This window comes from Homo sapiens, chromosome 2, assembly GCF_000001405.40.
Source record: "Homo sapiens chromosome 2, GRCh38.p14 Primary Assembly".
In the NCBI taxonomy this organism is placed as follows: domain Eukaryota; kingdom Metazoa; phylum Chordata; class Mammalia; order Primates; family Hominidae; genus Homo; species Homo sapiens.
Window position 1 is genome coordinate 174,931,144 of NC_000002.12, and position 22,044 is coordinate 174,953,187.

Here is a 22,044-nt window from a genome sequence, read left to right on the forward strand (position 1 = left end):
AAATAGCCTTTGAGTGATAGGATGATTTTTAAATAAATGGTTGGTTTCAATAATTCGCAGCTATCACTCAGCATTCATATAAAATGCTTCTATCTGCAAAGCATATTATAAGTGTTAAATAACAGATTATCACAACACCAAGATATATGAGCATGTGAATCTTTATTTTTTTGGAACCAAAAGTTGCACTATAGGCTGTGTGAGCACATAGTGCAAGCAGTGGCCAAACTCTAATTTCAATTAGAGTGTTTTCCTCCCACTCCTGTGCCAAACTCAATGCTCCCACCTAATAGAATATGTCCTCTAAAAAGGACTAAGAATAAAACAAGAACATTGTACCTCCCATCCATTCAATTAACAAGTCTTTATTAAGCACCTACTAAGTGTCAAGCACTGTTCCAGGAACCTGGGAAATACTGATAAACAAAACAGACCAAAATTGCTACCTGCATAGAGCTTCTATTCTAGTAAGGGAAAACAGCAGTAAACAATAATAAATAAGTGAACTATATAGTATGTAACAAAATGAAAAGTGTTGTGAAGACAAGACAAAGTAGAACAGGAAAAGACTGGGAATGCTGGGGGGATGATAAAGTATAATTCCTAATATAGTGGTCACAATGGGCCTCGCTGGGAAGATTTGAAGCATATGAACGAATGAGCCAAGAGTGTATCAGAGAGAACATTCCAGAAAGAGAAGTCAGCGGGAGGGCTGAGAAAGGATCACACCTGCTGTATCTGAGAAGCATGAAGACTGGTCAGGCTGAAGCAGAATGGGGGCAGGGAAGAGGAGGCAAGGAAGCAGTAAGAGATGAGTTAGAGAGGACCTTATAAGGCACTGTGAAGGTTTGGCTTTTACTCTGAGTGACAGGGAAAGCCAATGGAGAGTTCTGAGCAGAACAGTGACATGAGCTGACTGTGGTTTCAAAAAGATTACTCTGTGCTGGGAATAGACCATAAGGGGAAAGATCAGTTAAGAACTAGCTCAGTTACCCTCCTGAGGGATTACTGTGTGTTAAGGTAGGATAAGTCACTATGACAAATCAACCTTAATATATAATAACTAGACACAACAGAAGTTTATTTCTCGTTTATATAACATTCCTGTATATGTACTCAAGTTGGCAAGACAACTGTCCTACATCCATATCCCCTCCATTTTGTAGATATACCATCTCCTTGTGGAGATGTTTTTATCTGAATGCAAGCAGGATTTAAGTTGGCAAAAAGTTTTAATGGGTCTAGCATTGAAGTTAACGTCTGTTCCCCTAGAGAAAACTGTCAAATTGACGTAAGTATCTACAAGAGGCTGCGAAAATTTAGGCTACCCAGGTTTTCAAAGAAAGGAAGACTGGATTTTGCCGAGTATCTCACAGTTTCCACAGTTCATCCTTGCTTGGTAGCCATGAAACAGGTTACCACTAAAAGTTAGTGATATGGTTTAGATCTGTGTCTCCACCCAAATGTCATGTTGAATTGAAATCCCCAATGTTGGAGGTGGGGACTGGTGGGAGGTGACTGGATTATGGGGGTGGATTTCCCTCTTTGGTGCTGTTTTTGTAATAGAGTTCTCACGAGATTTGGTTGTTTAAGTGTGTGGCACCTGCCCTCTGTCTTCCTCCTGCTATGGCCATGTGAAGATGCCTGCTCTGGCTTTGCCTTCCACCATGAATAAAAGTTTCCTGAGGCCTCCCGAGCCATACTTCCTGTACAGCCTGTGGAACTATGAGCCAATTAAACACCTCTTTTCTCTATGTATTACCCAGTCTCAGGCATTTCTTTATAGCAATGTGAGAACAGACTAATACAGTTAGGATTCTGGACATATTCCAAAGATAGACCCAATATGACTTCCTGATTTTGGTCTGGGAAACTGGAATTAAGTAACTGCCATCAATTGAGATCTGGAAGGCTGTGGTAATAGAAGGTTGGGGAGGAAGGTGAAGCTCAGTTCTGTTTTGAACAGGCTATTTCTGTTGGAGATGTCTATTAGACATATGAGAGGGGATGTAGAGTAGGAAACTGGATATATATGTGTGTATATATATAGGTATATAGGAGTTTGGGAGAAAGGACTGGACATATAAAGAAATGTAAGTTACATTAAAACCTGAAACTGGTAAGATCATAATAAAGTAAATATAGGTAGAGAAGAGAAGAGGAGAGGATTTGGGGGCACCCCAAAATCAAGAGATCAGGTTGAAGCAGCACCAGAGAAATAGACTGTGGGGGCAAAAGAAAAAATAAAAGAATGTAGTATCCTGGAAACAAAGTGAGAAAAATGTATCAAGGAGGAGAAAGTCATCACTTGTATCAGATGCTCCTAATGGGATGATGAGAGGAAAAAAAAAACTACTAGATTTGTATGTATAGGGAAGTCAGTACTGACCTTACCAAAGCAGTTCTGCTTGGAGTGGCAGTGGGTAAAGTTCTGAGTGCAGACAGCAAGTACAGACAACACTTTGAAATATTTTCTACAAAAGAAAGCAAAGAAATTGAGCGAGGCAAATGGAGAAAGCAGGGTCAAGAGAACTTTTTAAGATAGGAGAAATAATAGGATATTTGTGGGCTGACGAAAATGATCTTGCAGAAAGGGAAAAGCTGTTGATGGTGGAGGAAAGGAGAAAATTGCTAGGATTATGTCCTTAAGCAGATAGAGAGGAAGTGAGGTTTAGTGTAGTGAAGAGCTAGCTATCACCTATGAGGTTAAGCAAGAATGCAGAACATACAGACACAAATACTGATGGTTGGGTGGATGTGACAGTGGAAGTTTGTGGAAGTTCTCTTCTGATGGCTTTAAGCAGGAGTAAAGTAGGATACAAAATTATGAGCTGAAAATTAGGAGAGGGAGTAAGGTATCAGAACAGTGGTCCCCAACCTTTTTGGCACCAGGGACCAGTTTCGTGGGAGACAATTTTACAATTTTTCTACAGACAGGGGTCAGAGGTGAGGGGATGGTTTTGGAATGATTCACGCACATTACATTTAGTGTGTACTTTATTTCTATTATTATTACATTGTAATATATAATGAAATAATTATACAACTCACCATAATGTAGAATCAGTGGGAGCCCTGAGCTTGTTTTCTTGCAACTAGACAGTCTCATCTGGGGGTAATGGGAGACAGTGACAGATCATCAGGCATTAGATTTTCATAAGAAGTGCACAACCTAGATCCCTTGCATGGGCAGTTCACAATAGGGGTCACACTCCTATGAGAATCTAATGCCACTACTGATCTGACAGGAGGCAGAGCTCAGGCAGTAATGTGAGCAATGGGGAGTAGCTATAAACACAGATGAAGCTTCACTTGCTCACCTGCCTGCTGCTCACCTCCTGCTGTGCGGCCCAGTTCCTAACAGGCCACAAGACGGTACCAGTCTGTGGCACAGGGGCCGGGGACCCCTGTATTAGAGGTTTGAGAAGAGAGAAAGGGCATGACATGAATAAAGGCAGTACAGGGAGCATTAAGTACCAACTTGAAGTTCAGAAATTCCGAAATATTTCATTTTCCTCCAGCCATACTGTTACTTGGCAGAATGTGCAGAATAGGCAGAGATAGCAATAGGGTTGCAGTTTTGCCAAGCAAGTATGACATGAAAGAAGATTAGGAGAGTTGACTGGTTCCTGAAAATCTACTAGACTCCCTCTCATGCAACCCATGACCATCTTGTCAGCAAGTCCTGAGAATTCTACTGCTTTAAATATTCCCCTTTCCTAATCCCTCTTGACTATTCTCAGAACCAGTGTCTTGTAGGTTCTTTTCACTTATCACAAGGACTACTGTAATAGCCTCCTAAACCAGTCTTTTTGTCTCTAAAATATCCATCCTCTTCCCTGCAGCCAGTTGTTCTTCCTAAGCCTAATCAATCACGTTTTTCTCCTGCTTAAAATACTTTCACTTCTATAGTCTAAACTCTAAGCTTAGGACATAGAACCCTTTATTACTAATGCCTGGTTAGCTTTCCGGGCTTATCTTTTACCACTCTCCCACAAGTACTCTGCCCTTGGCCAGAGGAGCTGCATACATATGTATCAAGGTAAGTACTACCAACTCTGCGCTTCTGCACTAAGTAAAGGTTGAGCTACCGCTCCATTCCCCACCTAGACTGGAAGCTCCTTCAGGAGAGGGATTTTGCTTTATTTGACTTGAAACCTGAGGGCCTGGCAGATGGTAGCCCCTCCAAGAATGCTGACTGAATGAACAAATACATACATGTGACAGAAAGAACCAGAGCATCTCTAACAGATATAGGTATTAATGCACACATTTTGTAAGCCATATTATAAGAACATTGTATTGAAAAATAAATTACACAAAGATATCTCATTCATTCATTCCACCCTATAAGCATTTAACAACCTATACTACACACCAGTCAGCATACCTAGGTGCTGAACATAATCTGCTTGGGGGAGACAGGTGAGTAAAATGATTACAGTCAATTTCCTACTTCTATAAGTAGGTCTTTAGAAAAACATTTTTAAAACATGTGTTGGCCTGGCACGGTGGCTCACGCCTGTAATCCCAGCACTTTGGGAGGCTGAGGCAGGAGGATCGCTTGAGCCCAGGAGTTCAAGACAAGCCTGGGGAACATAGTAAGACCTTATCTCTACAAGAAAACAAAACAAAACAAAAAAGCCAGGCACGGCGGTGCACACATGCAGTCCCAGCTACTCAGGAGGCTGAGGTAGAAGGATCACTTGAGCCTGGCAATGCAAAGCCACAGTGAGCTAAAATTGGGCCACTGCACTCCAGCCCAGGCAACACAGCAAGATTCTGTCTCTAAAAAATATATTAAAAGTAAATAAAAATAAAACATGTGCTACCAAAATACATACTCAGTATTACTCTAATTGGTATTGTAGTTAGAATTTGAAAACAGTGTAAATTGTGTAATTTTATCTACATTTCTCATTACACTAATAGCACTGACTTGTGTTTCAGTACATTTTGTCCAGCCTCAGTCTACTTTACCCATTTAGCCTAGAGAAAGACAACCTCATTGTTACTATAATGTGCACCTGTACTCAAAAATGCTATCCAACTCCCTGCAACACTAACTTGAAAAATGTGTCACAGGGAATAGAAATTTGGCTTTATATGTTTAAAAAAAATCATCACTACATTTCCCACTGTGTGGATAGCAGGGGGAAAAGTGCGTCCACTTTGAGGGTCCATGTTTAATAATGGTCCAGTGCCAAATACACTGTATTAATATCAGTGAACAAAAGATATGGAGCTTCTCTCATATCTCTATCTGAATTAGATAGATTTTATACCTATGTAATAAATAGATATAGCTTATACCTATGTAATTTATACTTGTGTCTACTCAGTCACTCTATATACATACATGCACACACACACATATATAGATACACATTTACTTGAATTCAACCAAGTGCTTAACATGAAATAACAAACAAAACCATTTTTACACAATAGAAAATAATAGTATATATTTTACATTTTTTATATACTGCATTTCACTGAATAAATCATATATTTATATATACCTATAAATGACAGAGTTGTATACACAAAAATATGTACCATTACTTTATGGGTGATAAGGAATTTCCAGGGGTAATTCTGACTATATAAGACTTTCACTTTACTTGCTAACTTCAGAATTAACTCTCCCATAAGATACAACTGTATCATGTAGCAACATTATTAAGAATAATTTTCAAGCTTTTAAGTATGTGCTTGGTTTTTAAAGCCTGCCTAAAATAATTAGTTGTGGCCTGGTCATCTTCTTCCTTTAAGAAGGATTATTTATATCTGAATTTCAAAATTGATCTCAACAATAACCTTTAATAAAAAAATCATTTATATTTTAGTGTCCACAATAGCAACTGGCAAGATTTTCTGGAATTAGGAAAAAAGCATTAGTTATAATTTGATTTTCTGTCAAATTATTTATTATTGCTAGATATTTTGCATTTTAGAGTTCTGCCACTAATAGTTTATGATTGTTTTAATAGTTGATAATTCAGGTTTTGAAATAAGGTGATACACATTTGGTTTCAAAATGCTAACAGAAATTCACCTAAGAGCAGAACACAGAATTCATCACCAAAACAAGGGGTAGACCACAAAAGAAAGGTCACACACACATGGCTAGTCACTAAATGTATGTTCCCTTTGAGCCTGGCATAGTTACTGAATTTGTAAGCTGTGATACAATACTATCATTAGAAGAAAATGGAATGGAAATGTGCACATGCAAACAAATAGGGCCAGTGCTCCCTTTCCTATCATTGTAAGTAAGCATAATTCCGAAAGACAAAGTCACTGGATCCATTTTAAAAATTACAATTAGCACCCATAAATAATAATTATTACTTTTTAAAAACTATCACCTTATCAATTGTATTAACTTTTCTCTTTTTCTCTCAACATTTCAGTGGAGAAACAACATACAGTGTCTGATGTGGTTTGGGTGTTTGTTCCCTCCAAATCTCATGTTGAAATATGATCCCCAATGTTGGGGACAGAGCCTGGTGGGAGGTGTTTCAGTCACAGGAGCGGATCCTTCATGAATATCTCGGTGCCCTTCCCACAGTAATGAGTGAGTTCTTACTCTCTTAGTTACCATGAAATCTGATTGCTAAAAAGCCTGGCACCTCATCCTATTAATATTTCTTGCTCCCTCAGTTACCATGTGATATGCCAGCTCCCCCTCTGCCTTCCACCATGACTGTGAGCTTCGTGAAGCCTCAGTAGAAGCAAATGCTGGCACTGTGTTTCTTCTTGTACATTCTGCAGAACAATGGGCCAAAAATAAACCTCTTTTTAAAATACATTGCCCAGCCTCAGGTATTCCTTTATAACAGCACAAAATGAACTAACACAGTAGCCCAAATCTAATTCCTCAGTTAAAAAAAAATTTTTTTAAGAGACAGGCTCAAGAACTCCTAGGCTCAAGTGATCCTCCCGCCTCAACCTCCCAAGTAGCTGGAATTACAGGTGCACACCACCACACTACCACACCTGGCTCACAGTTAAATACTTAAGGGTGAACATCAAATGGTACTTGAGTACATCTTTATCCTTACAGCTCATGATTCTCAATAATCTTTAGTTCTTCCAAACCAATCACTAATCATTTCATCAAGCCTAACTCTGAAACTTTCTTCCTTCGAAAAGTATTTTTAGATCAACTCTATCCCACTATTTAATCCTTTACTTTCATTTCTAATGGACATTCAAGTTACTTAGTTGTTATACAGATATTTAACTTAATAGAATAAGCAAACCATTAGCATTAGTGGCTTATAAATACTTCCCATGTCTCTATTTGTAAATCTAATCATTATAATAATATTATGTATGAATTTCATTTCTTTAAAGGAAGACCACTTATGCCTGTTTAGTAACTGTCATTTAGTTATCACCTGGGAAAAACAGAAAAACATTGAACAACCTAGAGAACGGTCAAATATAGAAACAAATTATCACCACTAATTTCCAAAGTAAAGACATTTATTGTATGCACACATATTTAATCCTTATTAAACAGTCAAACTTAAGGAACTGACTATAAGCTGTTAATAAGTAACAGACTATAAGTTGTGAATAATATGTAAGGATAGTTTCAATGTACAAGGAGAGCCAGTCACAGTAAATCCTTTCATTCTGAACAGCATTCCTTGCCCACCAATTTAGTCATTAGAACATGACTATTTTTTTGGAGAAAAAAATATAAATATTTTTAAATATAAACAAACATAAAATATTTACAAAAAATCTATATTTTTGTGAAACATAAATATTTCACAAAATATTGTGAAAAGTTAATACAATAAATATTTTTTATATTGCAAAGTGGAAATGATGAATACATTGCTCAATTTAAGTAGGAAAATGTCAATTGTACAATTTGCTTTTCTGGTTTTTCAATGCTTTCATGCCTGCTTTTAACCAAAGGAGAGAATACAAATAATTGGTCTAGTTCCTCAGGGGATGGCAGCATTCAATCACAGAGCAAAGGTAAATAAAAGGAAATTATTTTCAGAGACTCTAACATCCATCTATTCATCCAGTATATTATTCTATCTTGTGTCTTTGCATCAAGGTGAATCATCAGAAAGCTATCTACTGTGACCACATCAGCTTAGCTCTTCAAAAGTGAGTTCCATTGATTTATCGTACCTTAATGTCACACCAAATGAATTTTTTTAAAACAATTTAATTCAGGAAAAAACTGGATCATACTGGCCTTCAGAGTTTCATATACTTTATAACTGTGAAACACTTTTCACACAACTACATTGAGCCTCAATCAGCACTGCAATCTACTGGCATTTTGCTGTTTTTATTCCTTCAACTTTTCTTTATTCTTTTTATTATGTCTTCATTTGTGAGGTCTCAAATTATTTTAAGAAAGGAATAATATAGCTATTTTTCAACAAAGATAATAGTCTTACTAATAAATACTTCAGGACTTTCCAAAGTACTGCCAATTTCTCACTTTCAGTTTCTCACATACTTAAAAAATTAAAAAGTATGTGTGAACAGAACATGAAACAAAATGAAACATTTTATTAAATAGCATTTTTAAAATTCCCATTACATGCAAATTATTTAATCATCCTTGATCACAGCGAGCAGCAATGAAAGGCAATAATCAAGTACCTCATACTTAATTCTATGCTTACATATACACAGACTGGAAATCTACATATATCTAAACTGCAACTGGACATTCAAAAGACAATCCCATGAAACTCCTGCCTAATTCTGTAAATTGGTTCTCTTTGTTAACTAATTATATACTTTCAAAGCTATATTGTGTTTTAAACCAGAAGTCACAATAACAAAATCTATTTTAACATTTTTATCAATAGAGAAATAATTATTACTTTTATTTTATTTTATTTATTTATTTATTTTTAGACAGAGTCTTCCTCTGTTGCCCAAGCTGGAGTGCAGTGGTGTGATCTTGGCTCACTGCAACCTCCGCCTCCTGGGTTTAAGCAATTTTCCTGCCTCAGCCTCCTGAGTAGCTGGGACTAAAGGCGCATGCCACCATGGCTGGCTAATTTTTTGTTTTTAGTAGAGATGGTGTTTCACCACGTTGGCCAGGCTAGTCTTGATCTCCTGATCTCGTGATCCACCCGCCTTAGCCTCCCAAAGTGCCGAGATTATAGGCGTGAGCCGCCACGCCCAGCCGAGAGTAATTATTTTTCAATAATGTATCATCTAGGAAAGTTATTATGATTCCACATTACCTAATACAGTCCATACTCAAATTTATCCAATTGTACTCAAAATTTATAGCTTTACAATATATATATAAGTTGAGGACCCGATCAAGGTCCTTGAATCTGATGGCCATGTCTCTTTAGTCTCCTTTAATTTTATATCATCCCACCACTGTTTTTTTTTTATGATAATGACATTATTTATAAACCCAGGGCAGATGTCTTATGGAAGGTACACATTCTGAATTTGTCTGATTCGTACTTTATAACTAGATTTAAGTTAAACAGTTTTGGCAAAAATATTATACAGGTGATACCGTGTGTTTCACTGTATCACTTCAGGAGACACATGACAGTTTGTCCCATTACAGGTAATGCTAAGTTTGACCACCAGATCTCTCCACTTTAAAGGCATATTTTTCTCTATGCAATTAACAAATAATTGGTGGTGTCATACCTTGAGACCATGTAAATATCCTGTTCACCTACAGCCTTTCTTCCAATGGTTTTAACATCCAATGACTGATGATCCTTGCCTGGAGTCAATCATTAGTGCAAATTAGTGATTTTGTAATTTTATATTTTTTCTACATTTTAAGTGTCATTTCTTCTGTAAAGAACAACTGTATATTTCCCCATTTTTTCTCTTTGTAACAAAGTGAGTTTTTTTTAATTTTAAAGTATAATTACGGACTTACAAATTCTCTCTCACATAATGTGTTATAATCCATACCTACCATTATTCTTTTAGATGTTCAAATTGTTTCAAGTTTTGATGGTAGGAAACTTTCAAATAGGCTCCTGTGCCTTTTTGACATGTTTCCATCAGTTTTTGAGCACGTTCTTGCTTTCCAACACAATATGTTCCAGGACTTCTTTGCCCCACATTAAGAAATCAGGAACTTCTCTAAAAAACATTGCCTCCTTTTGGTGGGAAACCATATTTGGAACCCAAAATCTAGTCCCTGGAAATATTCATTCTTACTGGGGCTTCTAGGCCCTTTCCTTGGACTGAGATAGAAAAAAAATTTTTTTAATCTATAAGTTAATATTAATGCCACCAATTCAAAACTAATACCACAGTATACTTTCTAATTGTGTCCCATTCTCCTAATTCATTAATATCTCCTAAGAACCCTGGTTCCCCCTAATCCAGTAAAATTATTTCTTTGCTCTATCCTATATTACAAACAAAATAATTTCAAGATTACTACACATGTAGTTAAGACTTCTCTAAGTCTGTTTTTATATAGTTGTGACTTTTGAACTTTGTAAATGTTCACATGTTGAACGTTTGATCATCTACTCCTTATGATAATTGTTTTACTGGTCTCTGGTTTAATCCTTCTGTGCTTCTCTTTTGCAAAAATAAACTATTTTTTTTTCTTTTTTATGGAGAACAGGATCTCACCATGTTGCCAGGCAGGTCTTGAACCTCTGGGCTCAAGCTGTCTTTTCACCTCTGCCTTTTGCAATTTTTGTCCTTAGAATATTTCTGAGTTTGTACAGTCAGAATAATATGTTTAAAAGTTACTTAAGCCAAGAAGTATATGAAAAAACGCTCAGTATCACTAAAGATCAGGGAAATGCAAATCAAAACCACTGTTAGTATGTCACCCCAGTTAGTACAGCTACTATCAAAAAGACAAAACAAATGCTGGCAAAGATGCAGAGAAAAGGGAATTCATACACTGATGGTGGGAATGCAAATTAATACAGCCATTATGGAAAATGGTATGGAGGTTCCACTAAAAAACTAAAAATAGAACTACTGTATAATCCACCAATCTCATTACTGGGGTTATATCCAAAGAAAAGGAAATCAGTATGTCAAAGAGGTGTCTGTGTTCTCATGTTAATTACAGCATTTTTCACAATAGCCAAAATATGGAATCAACCTAAGTGTCCATCAACAGACAAATGGATAAAGAAAATGTGGTTTATTTACACAATGGAATACCATTCAGCCATTAAAAAGAATGAAATCCTGTCATTTTGCAGCAACATGGATGAACCTGGAAGACATTATGTTAAATGAAATAAGAAAGGCACAAAAGATGAATACTGCACATTCTCATTCATATGTGGGAGCTAAATAAATTGATCTCACAGAAGATGAGCAAGACAGTGGTATCTAGAGGCTGGGAGGGGTAGAGGAAAAAAAGGATAGGGAGAGGTTGGTTAATAGATATAAAATTATCCTAGATAAGAGTTACAAATAATTTATATTTTCAATTAGCTAGAAGAGAGAATTGTGAATGTCTCAACACAAAGATTTGAGGTAATGGATATGCTAATTACCCTCAATCATTACAGTGTATACATGTATCAAAATATCACTCTGTACTACACAAATATGCACAATTATTATGTGTCAATTTAAAATATTTTTTAAAAAGCAACTTAAAAGGCCAGGTGCCCTGGCTCACAACTGTAATCCCAACACTTTAGGAGGCCACGGTGGGTGGATCCCTTGAGCTTAGGCGTTTGAGACCAGCTTGGGCAACATGGCGAAACCCCATCTCTACAAAAAAGTACAAAAATTAGCCAGACATGGTGGCACATGCCTGTAGTCCCAGCTACTTGGGAGGCAGAGGTAGGAGTATCACTTGAGCTCAGGAGGTTGAGGCTGCAGTGAGCCAGATCACACCACTGGACTCTAGCCTGGGAGATAAAGCAAGACTCTATCTAAAAAAAAAAATAAAAAGTTAAGTAAATAAGTAAATAAATAAATAAAAGCTATTTAAGTTATCTTTTTTGGTGATTATGCTGTGAATTTGTAAGGTTCATTTGTTCTTATTTGTATTCAATTTTAGGGTTTGCTTGTGTGTGTGTGTGTGTGTGTGTGTGTATGTGTGTACATGTTTTTGTTTTTGTTTTTGTTTTGAGATGGAGTCTTGTTCTGTTGCCCAGGCTGGAGTGCAGTGGTCCCATCTCAGCTCACTGCAACCTCTGCCTCCCGGGTTCAAGCGATTCTCCTGCCTCAGCCTCCTGAGTAGCTGGGATTACAGGCACCTGCCACCACAACCAGCTAATTTTTGTATTTTTAGTAGAGACTGGGTTTCACCATGTTGGCCAGGCTGGTCTCAAACTCTTGACCTCGTGATCTGCCTGCCTCAGCCTCCCAAAGTGCTTGGATTACAGGCATGAGCCATCATGCCCAGCTGGGTTTGCTTTTTAAAAATCATTTTTCTTTACCTTTTTTGTTTCAATACGTGACCATTTACATGGTTCAAAAGTCACAACTCAGACTAAAAATCAGACTCAGAAAAATCTCACTCCCATCTCTATTTCCTCCACAGTGCTCTTCATCCACTCCTTATCATATTATTATGATAATAATTATGTAAATAAGGTGCTCTTCATCCACTCCTTATCATAATTATTATCATAATTATTTTACCAGTCTCTGGTTTAATCCTTTCTGTGTTTCTCTTTTGCAAAAATAAACTATATCTACAAATATACTTTTCCTTTTTGTGGAGAACAAGGTCTCACTATGTTGCCCAGGCTGGTCTTGAACTCCTGGATCAAGCTGTCTTCTCACCTGTGCCTAGCTAAGTGTTGAGATTACTGGCATGAGCTGCTTTGCCTGACCAGACTATATATTTTTTATTTTCTATTCTTTCATATGAAAGAGGGACCATACTTACTATATCTATATACATTTTATATCTGGAAATCTTTCCGTATCAGTACATAGAAATCTTCCTTATTTTAGTATTCTATTCTATTCAATCAGTCTCCTCTGGACAGACATTTAGGTTTTTTTCTGCTATTACTAACAATCCTACAATAAAAAACTTTGAGCATATGTTATTCTATATTTGTGCAGGTGGTTCATCAGGATAAATTCCTAGAATTTGGACTGGTAAGTCAAAGGCAGGTGAAGGTATAATTTGGTAGATACTACAAAATTCTCATAAAGTTATAGTATGTCACATTCCAATCTGCAATGTAAGTGCCTGTTTCCTCACAGGCTTGCCAAGTAAGTATATTCTGAGCTTTTAACTTTTGCCAATCTGCAAAGTAAAAATGATCTCTCTGTATTTTAATTGGCATTTCTCTTATTATCAATGAAATTTGAACATCTTTACATATATTGTCATACATCATATCTTTTTTTGGTGAACTATCCACATCTTTTGTTCATTTTTAAAATCATAAGCTAAATACTTATTTCAATGTAAAAAAGAATTCAATAATCCTACAATGATGGCTCCAAACTTTGTTCTAAAAAAAGAATATTAAACAATGAAAACACAATGTATGAATTAACTGAAAAGAATACGAACAACCCTTAAAACTATATGGTCATATTCTATACTGTGTTCCAAACAGTCCACTAAAAAGTGGAAGTTAAATCAAATGAGAAGGATATTAAGAAAAATGTATTCAAGTTATAATTTTATCATATCGATTAGTGTTAAGTGGTTAATCTCACAAACAACCAAGCCACTGAAGAAGGTGAAAGTTTGGGAAACAGATGGTTGAGAGACATTTTTTGGTAGCAGTTTCATTACACCCACCTCGCAAGTACAGGTAATTCTTCGAGGATGAGGGGCTTCCTGTTGTAGCTGATATACTGTGAGAAGGTAGAAACAAAAAGTGTCAATGTCCCTTACATAGAACTTATCAATATATTAGAAATAAAAACCTGGCTGCTTTTTATGTTCACAAGAAAACTGGTATAACCTTATTTACTAAATTGTGTTATGAACAAAACAAAAAAAGTAAACAAAACTACATATAGTGAAAGCCCAGGAGCAATTCAAACAGAAAAATCATAATCCAAACAAGTGTCTTTTTACCTTATAACAAGTCAGTGCTGGATATTTGGCTCTGTTCTCCATAATCTGGTCATTTATTTTCCCCAGTTCTTTGTGGGGATATTAAAGGATGTCTATGATATAAACCAATAATGGTTATATATACATATATTTAAAGCATGTTATTAAGTGTCAACCTTGAAACTAAAATCAAGATTTATAGGCTAAATGTAACGAACACACTATTTATATTGCAAACATCTATCTTCAAAGATAATTTTCCTCTTCCCCTAAAAACAAAAGGTCTGAGCCAAAGTTACCACTGCTTATTCAACTAGGGCAAATATAGCAAAAGAAAGAATTCAGATATTCAAATAACTTGCCAAAAGAGGGAATCATTTTTAGGGCATCTGAAAATGCATCAGTGAAAATTATACTGATACCATGACTTCCTTCTAGCCTCACTTCAGGCTTTTTTATTTAAAATGAAAAAAGAATGAATAGGATGTGTGGCTATATATGTCTAAGTTTATCTCTTAGAGATTTTTTTTTCTATTTCTACATATATAATCACATATAATTTAATACTCTAAATACTTAAGATATTTTGTCAACATAACATCAAACTACCCAGTAATCTGGGACTGTCAGATAACGGATGACTCAGATTTCAAATGGATATGATTACACGGACTCTACTTCTGACCACATTCATTCATATACATCATAGGGACATATATAGAATAAATACAATTAGACTATACACACATACATAATTAGCCTGTGTGTGTGTGTGTGTGTGTGTATATATATATAAATGTGTGTGTATATATATACTATCTCTCTCTACACACACACACAGTGAACACACACACATACACGTAACTGTGAGTACTTCTATGCAAAGGGGATACAGCACTGGGGTTAAGAATTTGAACTCTTGAACCAAACCATCTGGAGTCTGAACACTGGGGCTCTGTCACTAGCACTGCATTCTATGCCTTCATTTTCCTTATTTGCAAAATGGGATTAATAATAGTTTGTACTTCACAGATTACTTAAGGATATAAATAATTTATGTGAAAGATGTAAAATAGTCCCTAGCACACAGTAAATGCTCAATGAAGACTACTTATTATTATACATAGGTGATTGATATTAATACATAAAATTCTTTATAATAATACTTGATTACTAGGATGCATCTTGAGTTCATCACTAAAACATAGTATCAGGGCAATGCTATAATTTAAAAGGAACTGAGAAAATACAGCTTTATTGTTTAAAAATCAAACACAAAGCCACTTCATCAGGAATGTTTAAATTCTACTGGTAGAAATGTATTCCTTTACCTTTTTCTCCTGATGGCAAAAATCCCTAAGAGAGGTAATACATTGAAACAGTTTTAGATACCCATATTTCATTGTGAGAGTTAATAAGAAATATTCCTGTGAATATAGTTTTATATATTGTTACAGAGATGACAAAAAGGGAGTTAATTCTGAGGTAGAAAAGGGAAGAAAAAGCACTAAAGTCAAATTTGTCTGGCCCTGATAATGAAAAGTACATGTGTATCACCCCATGATATGTGTAAATCTCCATCCTCCTTAAAAATGGCCAAACCATGATTTGTAAGAAAGAAGGATTCTTCAAGGGCCAGGCACAGTGGCTCACACTTGTAATCCCAGCACTTTGGGAGGCCAAGGTGGGAGGATCATTTGAGCTCAAGAGACCAGCCTGGCAACATAGCGAGACCCTGTCTCTAAAAAATGTAAAAAAAAAAAAAAAAAAAAAAAAAATTCTTCAAGTCCATTCCTCCATATTGGTACCTATAAGGTAAAAATTTAGTTCACGTTTCTACTTTGATCAGTAATTCTCAAAATATTGGTATTTTCCTTTGTCAAGAAAATGCTCTGGAAAGTGCTGCCATCTATGAAAACCCAATTCTGAGAACTGAATGATAGTCAAGAAGAACATTAAAAGTTAATACAGAAAGTAAAATGTCGATTTTGACTCAAAGCACAAATACTGTAGTATCTGGTTATCAGCAGTAAGCATTTGCCTGTTCAGTAAGCATACATTAAGATGAGCCACTATGAAAAAAAGGGAGACAATATTGTCATATGAGAATTGATGTGGGTTTCAAATTTGCTTTCATCAGAGTTTCAAAGGGTATATAGTATTTTCTTAACATTAAGTCACATAAGGTTATTTACTTTTCAATTTCTTTCAAATCCTTCTAATCGTCTCAAAGGATAAAGCTCTGTTTCATAACGAGGAACTTTTAGACAAATGCCTCCTGATTGGCTACCAGTGGTTACTAACAGTTAATCTATCTTTAAGACTCTTTTTTTTTTTAATTTTTTTTTTTTTTTGAGACAGTGTCTCACTTGGTCACCCAGGCTGGAGTGCAGTGGCACACACATGACTCACTGCAGCCTCAACCTCCCGAGTTCAAGCAAGCCTTATGCCGCAGAACCCAAGTAGCTGGGACTACAGGCACACACCACCACGTCAAGCTAATTTTTGTATTTTTTATAGAGACCGGGTTTCACCATCTTGCCCAGGCTGGTCTCAAACTCCTGAGCTCAAGTGATACTCCCACCTTGGCTTCTTAAAATGCTGGGATTACAGGTGTGAGCCACTGTGCCTAGTCAAGTCTTGGATATTTTATAACAAATATAACAAATTTGGATTCAAAAAACACCTATCAAAAAGATCATTAAAAAGTTATACAAAGTAATGAGGTCTAATTCAGGTCCTTCTCTCTCAGTTTGGAATTTCTGATAATTTGAATTGGAACTCAGCTGAATTTAAATAAGCACAATCATTAAATGATTCACCAAAAATTAATAGCTAAATTCAAGATGAGGGAATATATGATTAAAGTACTTAATATTTTCAGTCACCTTAGAAGTGTCAATGAGTATATACTTATTAATGAAATTCTCAATCCCTACAGACAATAAATTGTTCATCAAGTCCAAAGATCACAAATTGGTATCTTGAAGTCAAAATTGGTCCACATGTGTTTTGTTTGCTGTCTTTTACATTTGAGTAGGTTTTTAACATTAAAAAATTAAGAAACTTAAGGACAACAAAAGCAAAAGAGAATTCCAGCCTCTTTTGAAAACTCAGATCTGGCAATAATGAACCCAGAGTCTAACATGACAATAAAAGGAGCTAATTTTGAGCTACTCTCTACAGACAAGGTCTCCACGGTCAACTTACTCATAGTCCTAATCTGGCTTGCTTGCCTCATTTATTACATGTAAGGTTCCTGGTTTAATTCACACAATAAGTACTGAAAAGCGACAAAACCGTATTTGTTTAAAAAGAGTCCACAACTTAGACTTCTTGCTAATTTTACTTCCCTATTGGTTTATATTTGTAAGACTTCAGAGTTACATTTTTACAAGATCAATGGAACTAACAGTAGGAAGTACAAGATAGGCATGGGTAAAATAAGTTTCTTCTAGAATCAAATTGTGAAATGCTGTTCAGATTCCACCATGCCAAAGATAGAAAAACAAAACACACTAACATGTAGCAACTTTTGACATTAAATTAAATCATCTTGTTTACTTTTATAGATCTATTACAGAAGTGAACAATTAGAACTCCTTGAATAGCTTTCAATGGGTGTGCCACCTTACATGAATTGACATACCTAATTATTTTTAAAATTTCAGCCCATTTCTATTTTATTACCATTTTAAGAATTTTTAATAACTAAATTTAAGTCACATCACAGAGATGCTGAAGCATTACAGTTTGTCGGTCCCAAAGACTATTAGTAGAAAATATTGTCAATTATCAATTCTAAACTATATATATATCTGGCCTAAGATTGTCATGGCTCACATATTAAGGATACTGAACAATGCCTACTACCTCAGTTATTTAAAATTCCAGTCTCTATTGATGAAGTCAGGGTATAACAGGTCGGTCAGTCTTTAAAATTTTTCCTACTAAAATATAAAGATTCCTAAGAGATGAAGTCCTTAAGGTACAATTAATAAACATCTTACTGAAGATTATTTAGAGCTGGTTGTAAAAACTGTAAAACTGTCTTGAGTGGTAAAAGATAATATAAACAAAAAGTTCAACTTAATCACATTTTTTTCTAAGATCAGAATTTGACAAACACATTAACCATCTATATGATCATAAAAAGTCATCGTTAGAATGCATTTATTTATTTAACATGAATGAATAAATGAATGAGACAGGGTCTGGAGTTCAGAGTACTGATCACAACTCACTGCAGCCTCCATACCCCTTGGGCCCAAGTAATCCTCCCACCTCCACCTCCCAAGTAGCTGGGAAGCAGTTCCTCCCACCTCCACCTCCCAAGTAGCTGGGACCACAGGAGTACAACACCATGCCCAGCTAATGTTTTTATTTCTTATTTTTTGGTAGAGATGGGATCCGCCTAAATTGGCCAGGCTGGCCTCAAACTCCTGGGCTCAAGTGATCCTCCCACCTCAGTCTCCCCAGACTACTAGGATTACAGGCCTGAGTCACCAAGCCTGGCTGCAATTTTTATGTTTCCTCATTTGTTAAAATTTGCACATACTCAAATCTTGGAAGATTAATATCATAATCTTATAAGAAAATTTCTAAAAAGGATTTTTCCACTTGCTTTTAACATAGTTTAATTATAAAATTTCCTTGACTCAGAAGTTTTTTTCATGTGACAAATGAAAAAGTCAAAAGATAAAATATCTATTTTAATAATTTCCTACACATTTCTACTGTTAAAATGATTACGGGGAGTTCAGACATTGAAGTCATTAAGAGAAATGATAAAACTCCGTAACAGAACTGTAGTCTTATTAAAGAAAGATTCAGCTGGGCACAGTGGCTCACACCTATAATCCCAACACTTGGGAGGCCAAGGAGGCAGGATCACTTGAGGTCGGGAGTTGGAGACCTTCCTGGGCAACACAGTGAGACCTCGTAGTCTACAAAATAAAATTTTTAAAAATCAACCTGTGGTCACAGCTACTCAGGAGGTTGAAGTGGGAGGATCACTTGAGCCCAGGGGGTCAAGGCTGTAGCGTGCCAAGATTGCGCCACTGCACACCAGCCTGGGCGACAAAGCAATAGCCTATCTCTCTCTTTTTTTTTTTAATGTCTTTTTTTTTTGACATAGTTTTGCTCTTCACTGTTGTTGTCCAGGCTGGAGTGCAAAGGTGCGATCTCAGCTCACTGTAGTCTCTGCCTCTCAGGTACAAGTGATTCTCCTGTCTCAGCCTCCCAAGTAGCTGGGATTACAGGCATGCACCACTACACCCAGCTAATTTTTTGGTATTTAGTAGAGACGGGTTTCACCATGTTAGGCTGGTCACAAATTCCTGACCTCAGGTGATCCACCCACCTCAGCCTCCCAAAGTGTTGGGATTACATAAATGCCATATTTTAAAACAAATGATAGCTACTGCAAGACATGCGAGATATGTGAAGCTACAAAAAATACCAGTTGCATATACTACATTTACTAATTGATATTTTTCATGGAGGAAAAGATCACTACAAACTCAATAATAGTCTGAGGCTTCATAAATGTTCTTACATTAAAAATGTGCAGGGTGCAAGTCAGAGTCAGGGAATAAAGATAAACTGAAAACCAGAAAATGCAGAGAAGTTTTTTTTTTTTTTTTTTTTGAGATGGAGTCTCGCTCTGTTGCCCAGGCTGGAGTGCAGTGGTGCGATCTTGGCTCACTGCAACCTCTGCCTCCCTGGTTCAAGCGATTCTCCTGCCTCAGCCTCCCAAGTAGGTGGGACTACAGGTGTGTGCCATCACGCCTAGCTAATTTTTGTATTTTCAGTAGAGATGGGTTTCACCATGTTGGCCAGGCTAGTCTCAAACTCCTGACCTCAGGCAATCCGCCTGCCTCTGCCTCCCAAAGTGCTGGGATTACAGGCATGAGCCACAGTGCCCGGCCAGAGAAGAATTTTAAATAGGCTTCCAGCCAATGAGATTATGAGACAAAATCTTTAGGAGGTAAAGAATATTAGTCATTTTTACACATTCGTATAACTATACTCCCAAGGGAAAAAGAAAAAGGCACTAGCAGCGTTGAGGGGAAGCATCTATGGCAATATTTTTAGAGACTGTTCATATTTTACTTATAATTAGCCCAAAGTGGCAACCTATTAAAAAAAAAATTATCTGTTCTGAGAACATAAGACCAATGAGAATCTGAATTGCTGTTCCTTCAGTCAGCAAATTTCAGCAACCTACAATCATCAGATTTATAATAAACCTCAGCATTTACAAAGATGTTAATCTATAATTAAAGAACAGGTTTCTTAGGCTGCTTATTCAACTACAGAAACAACGAACAAGAACTTATAGTGCTTTTCCATAATAATGCATTCATAAATTTTAAAAAACCATTTTGATTATATTAGCCCTATTTGAACTTTTAAAATCTGAAATATCCTTTACTTGGTGAAATAATATTCTCTAGAAAACAAGGAAAGGAAAATAAAGAACTAAAACCCTAGATGTTTAAAAAGAAATATCCTAACGCAGTTTAAAGAGCAGCATGGAATCAAGTATCTCCCTTATGTTTTGGGAAAGTAATTATTTAAAAGTTAGATCACCTTTTTTTGCCTCTTTTCACTTATTCTTTCTATCAACATAGCCTCCTGAATTATTGTCATTTAAATATTCCTTTCTTCACATAAAGAATCAGGACCTGAAAATAATTAGACTGTTTGAATTCTCAGTGTCTCCTTGTATTAGCTTCATTAGCCACTCTGAACAAGTGGTCTCAAGTTTCACTACATGGAATTCATATAAGCTCAGAGGGATGAAATGCATTCCAGACGGAAAACCATATACTGTACAGACTTTGTGTAAACACTTACTTAACCACAATTATTTCTATGCTACTCCCAAACCTTGTTTAAATTAATTTTTCAACAATGGGTACAAAATGGAATGAGTATTTCTATCTAATAATCCCATATTTTTATATTACTTATAAAGCACTATAACCCACACAATTATTTGTAGACTTACAGTAAGATTTCCAAACAGGAGGTCTATATTCATCTGTATCTGAAAGAAAAAACATCAAATTAACATTACTGAATATTTAAATTTTAAATGAGACATTTTAATCATTAACTCATTTAATATATATCTGTTGAGATCTATTTGTTCTAGGTATTGTGCTAGGCACTAAGGGGCATTCAAGGGTTTTTTTTTAGTCTTGGTCCTTACTTAGTTGGAGTAATTTTACAAAGATGTTTAAATAAAGTTACTGTATTTATTCAATTGCTAATTACATAAAAACATCAAGGTTAACTTTTACTGCTGGTACTCATTTCTTACTATCACTGAAGTAATAGTCAATAAAGGCTTTGTTTCTTTGGGCTTAATGATTATTTCACTGAAAGATCCCTAAAATTATTGAATTTTTCTTTTTCAGTCAAATTCACCAGATTAATCATTTTAATCACCGCAAAAGTTAAGTATTTCTATTATTTTCCCCCGTTACATTTGGGGGATTCCAATGTACATGGTTTTACTAACATGAAGAAAGAAGGAACAGCAAGGTTCAGATCTCAGTCCTCACACATCCTGGACAATCAAAACCAGGAAATGAGAAACACTTCAATGGAAGAGAGTGTATCTAGGGAACCACAACGAACATGAGGTGAACATCTGCTCTTCAAGTCCATTTCCCCTCATGTTGCCTGAGTGCAGATGTAGGAGACAGTATAAATAGGAAGTGGAAAGAGATGGAAATACAAACACATGACGGACGTGGAGTTATCAGAGAAAGAAGAAGGGGCCAGTGTAGCTTCTGGCTACGCTGTGTGGCTTCTCATCAGTAAAGCATAGCTGGGGACTAATTTTTGCCAGTCAAAAGCTCTGCCTGCAAGACTATATAGCCACGACTGCAGAAACATTTTTTGGTATAGAAAGGTATGGCCAGCCACATCACCTGGCTCTGCTGGAAACCAACATGAACCCATTAGGCAATCTGATCCAAAAATTTTGATCTCCAAGGAAGCAAAAAAAAAAAAAAAATCCCTGG

At 36.1% G+C, this 22,044-nt stretch overlaps 1 protein-coding gene across 5 annotated transcripts in view; it reads right to left on the reverse strand.

Annotated features, from left to right (window-relative positions):
* Window positions 1-22,044, reverse strand: part of CHN1 (chimerin 1) — a 206,573-nt gene that overhangs the window by 132,335 nt on the left and 52,194 nt on the right. For 4 of the 5 annotated variants that reach the window (NR_038133.2, NM_001822.7, NM_001025201.4 and 1 more), the window contains 2 exons: window positions 21,021-21,059; window positions 13,745-13,800 (listed from right to left, as the gene is read on the reverse strand). Coding sequence is in view for 4 of the 5 variants with exons in the window: in NM_001822.7 (NP_001813.1) it covers window positions 13,745-13,800; window positions 21,021-21,059 (95 nt within the window). In the remaining variant the exon portion in view is untranslated. The remainder of the gene's footprint in view (window positions 1-13,744; window positions 13,801-21,020; window positions 21,060-22,044) is intronic. The other variant, NM_001371514.1, reaches the window with a different exon arrangement.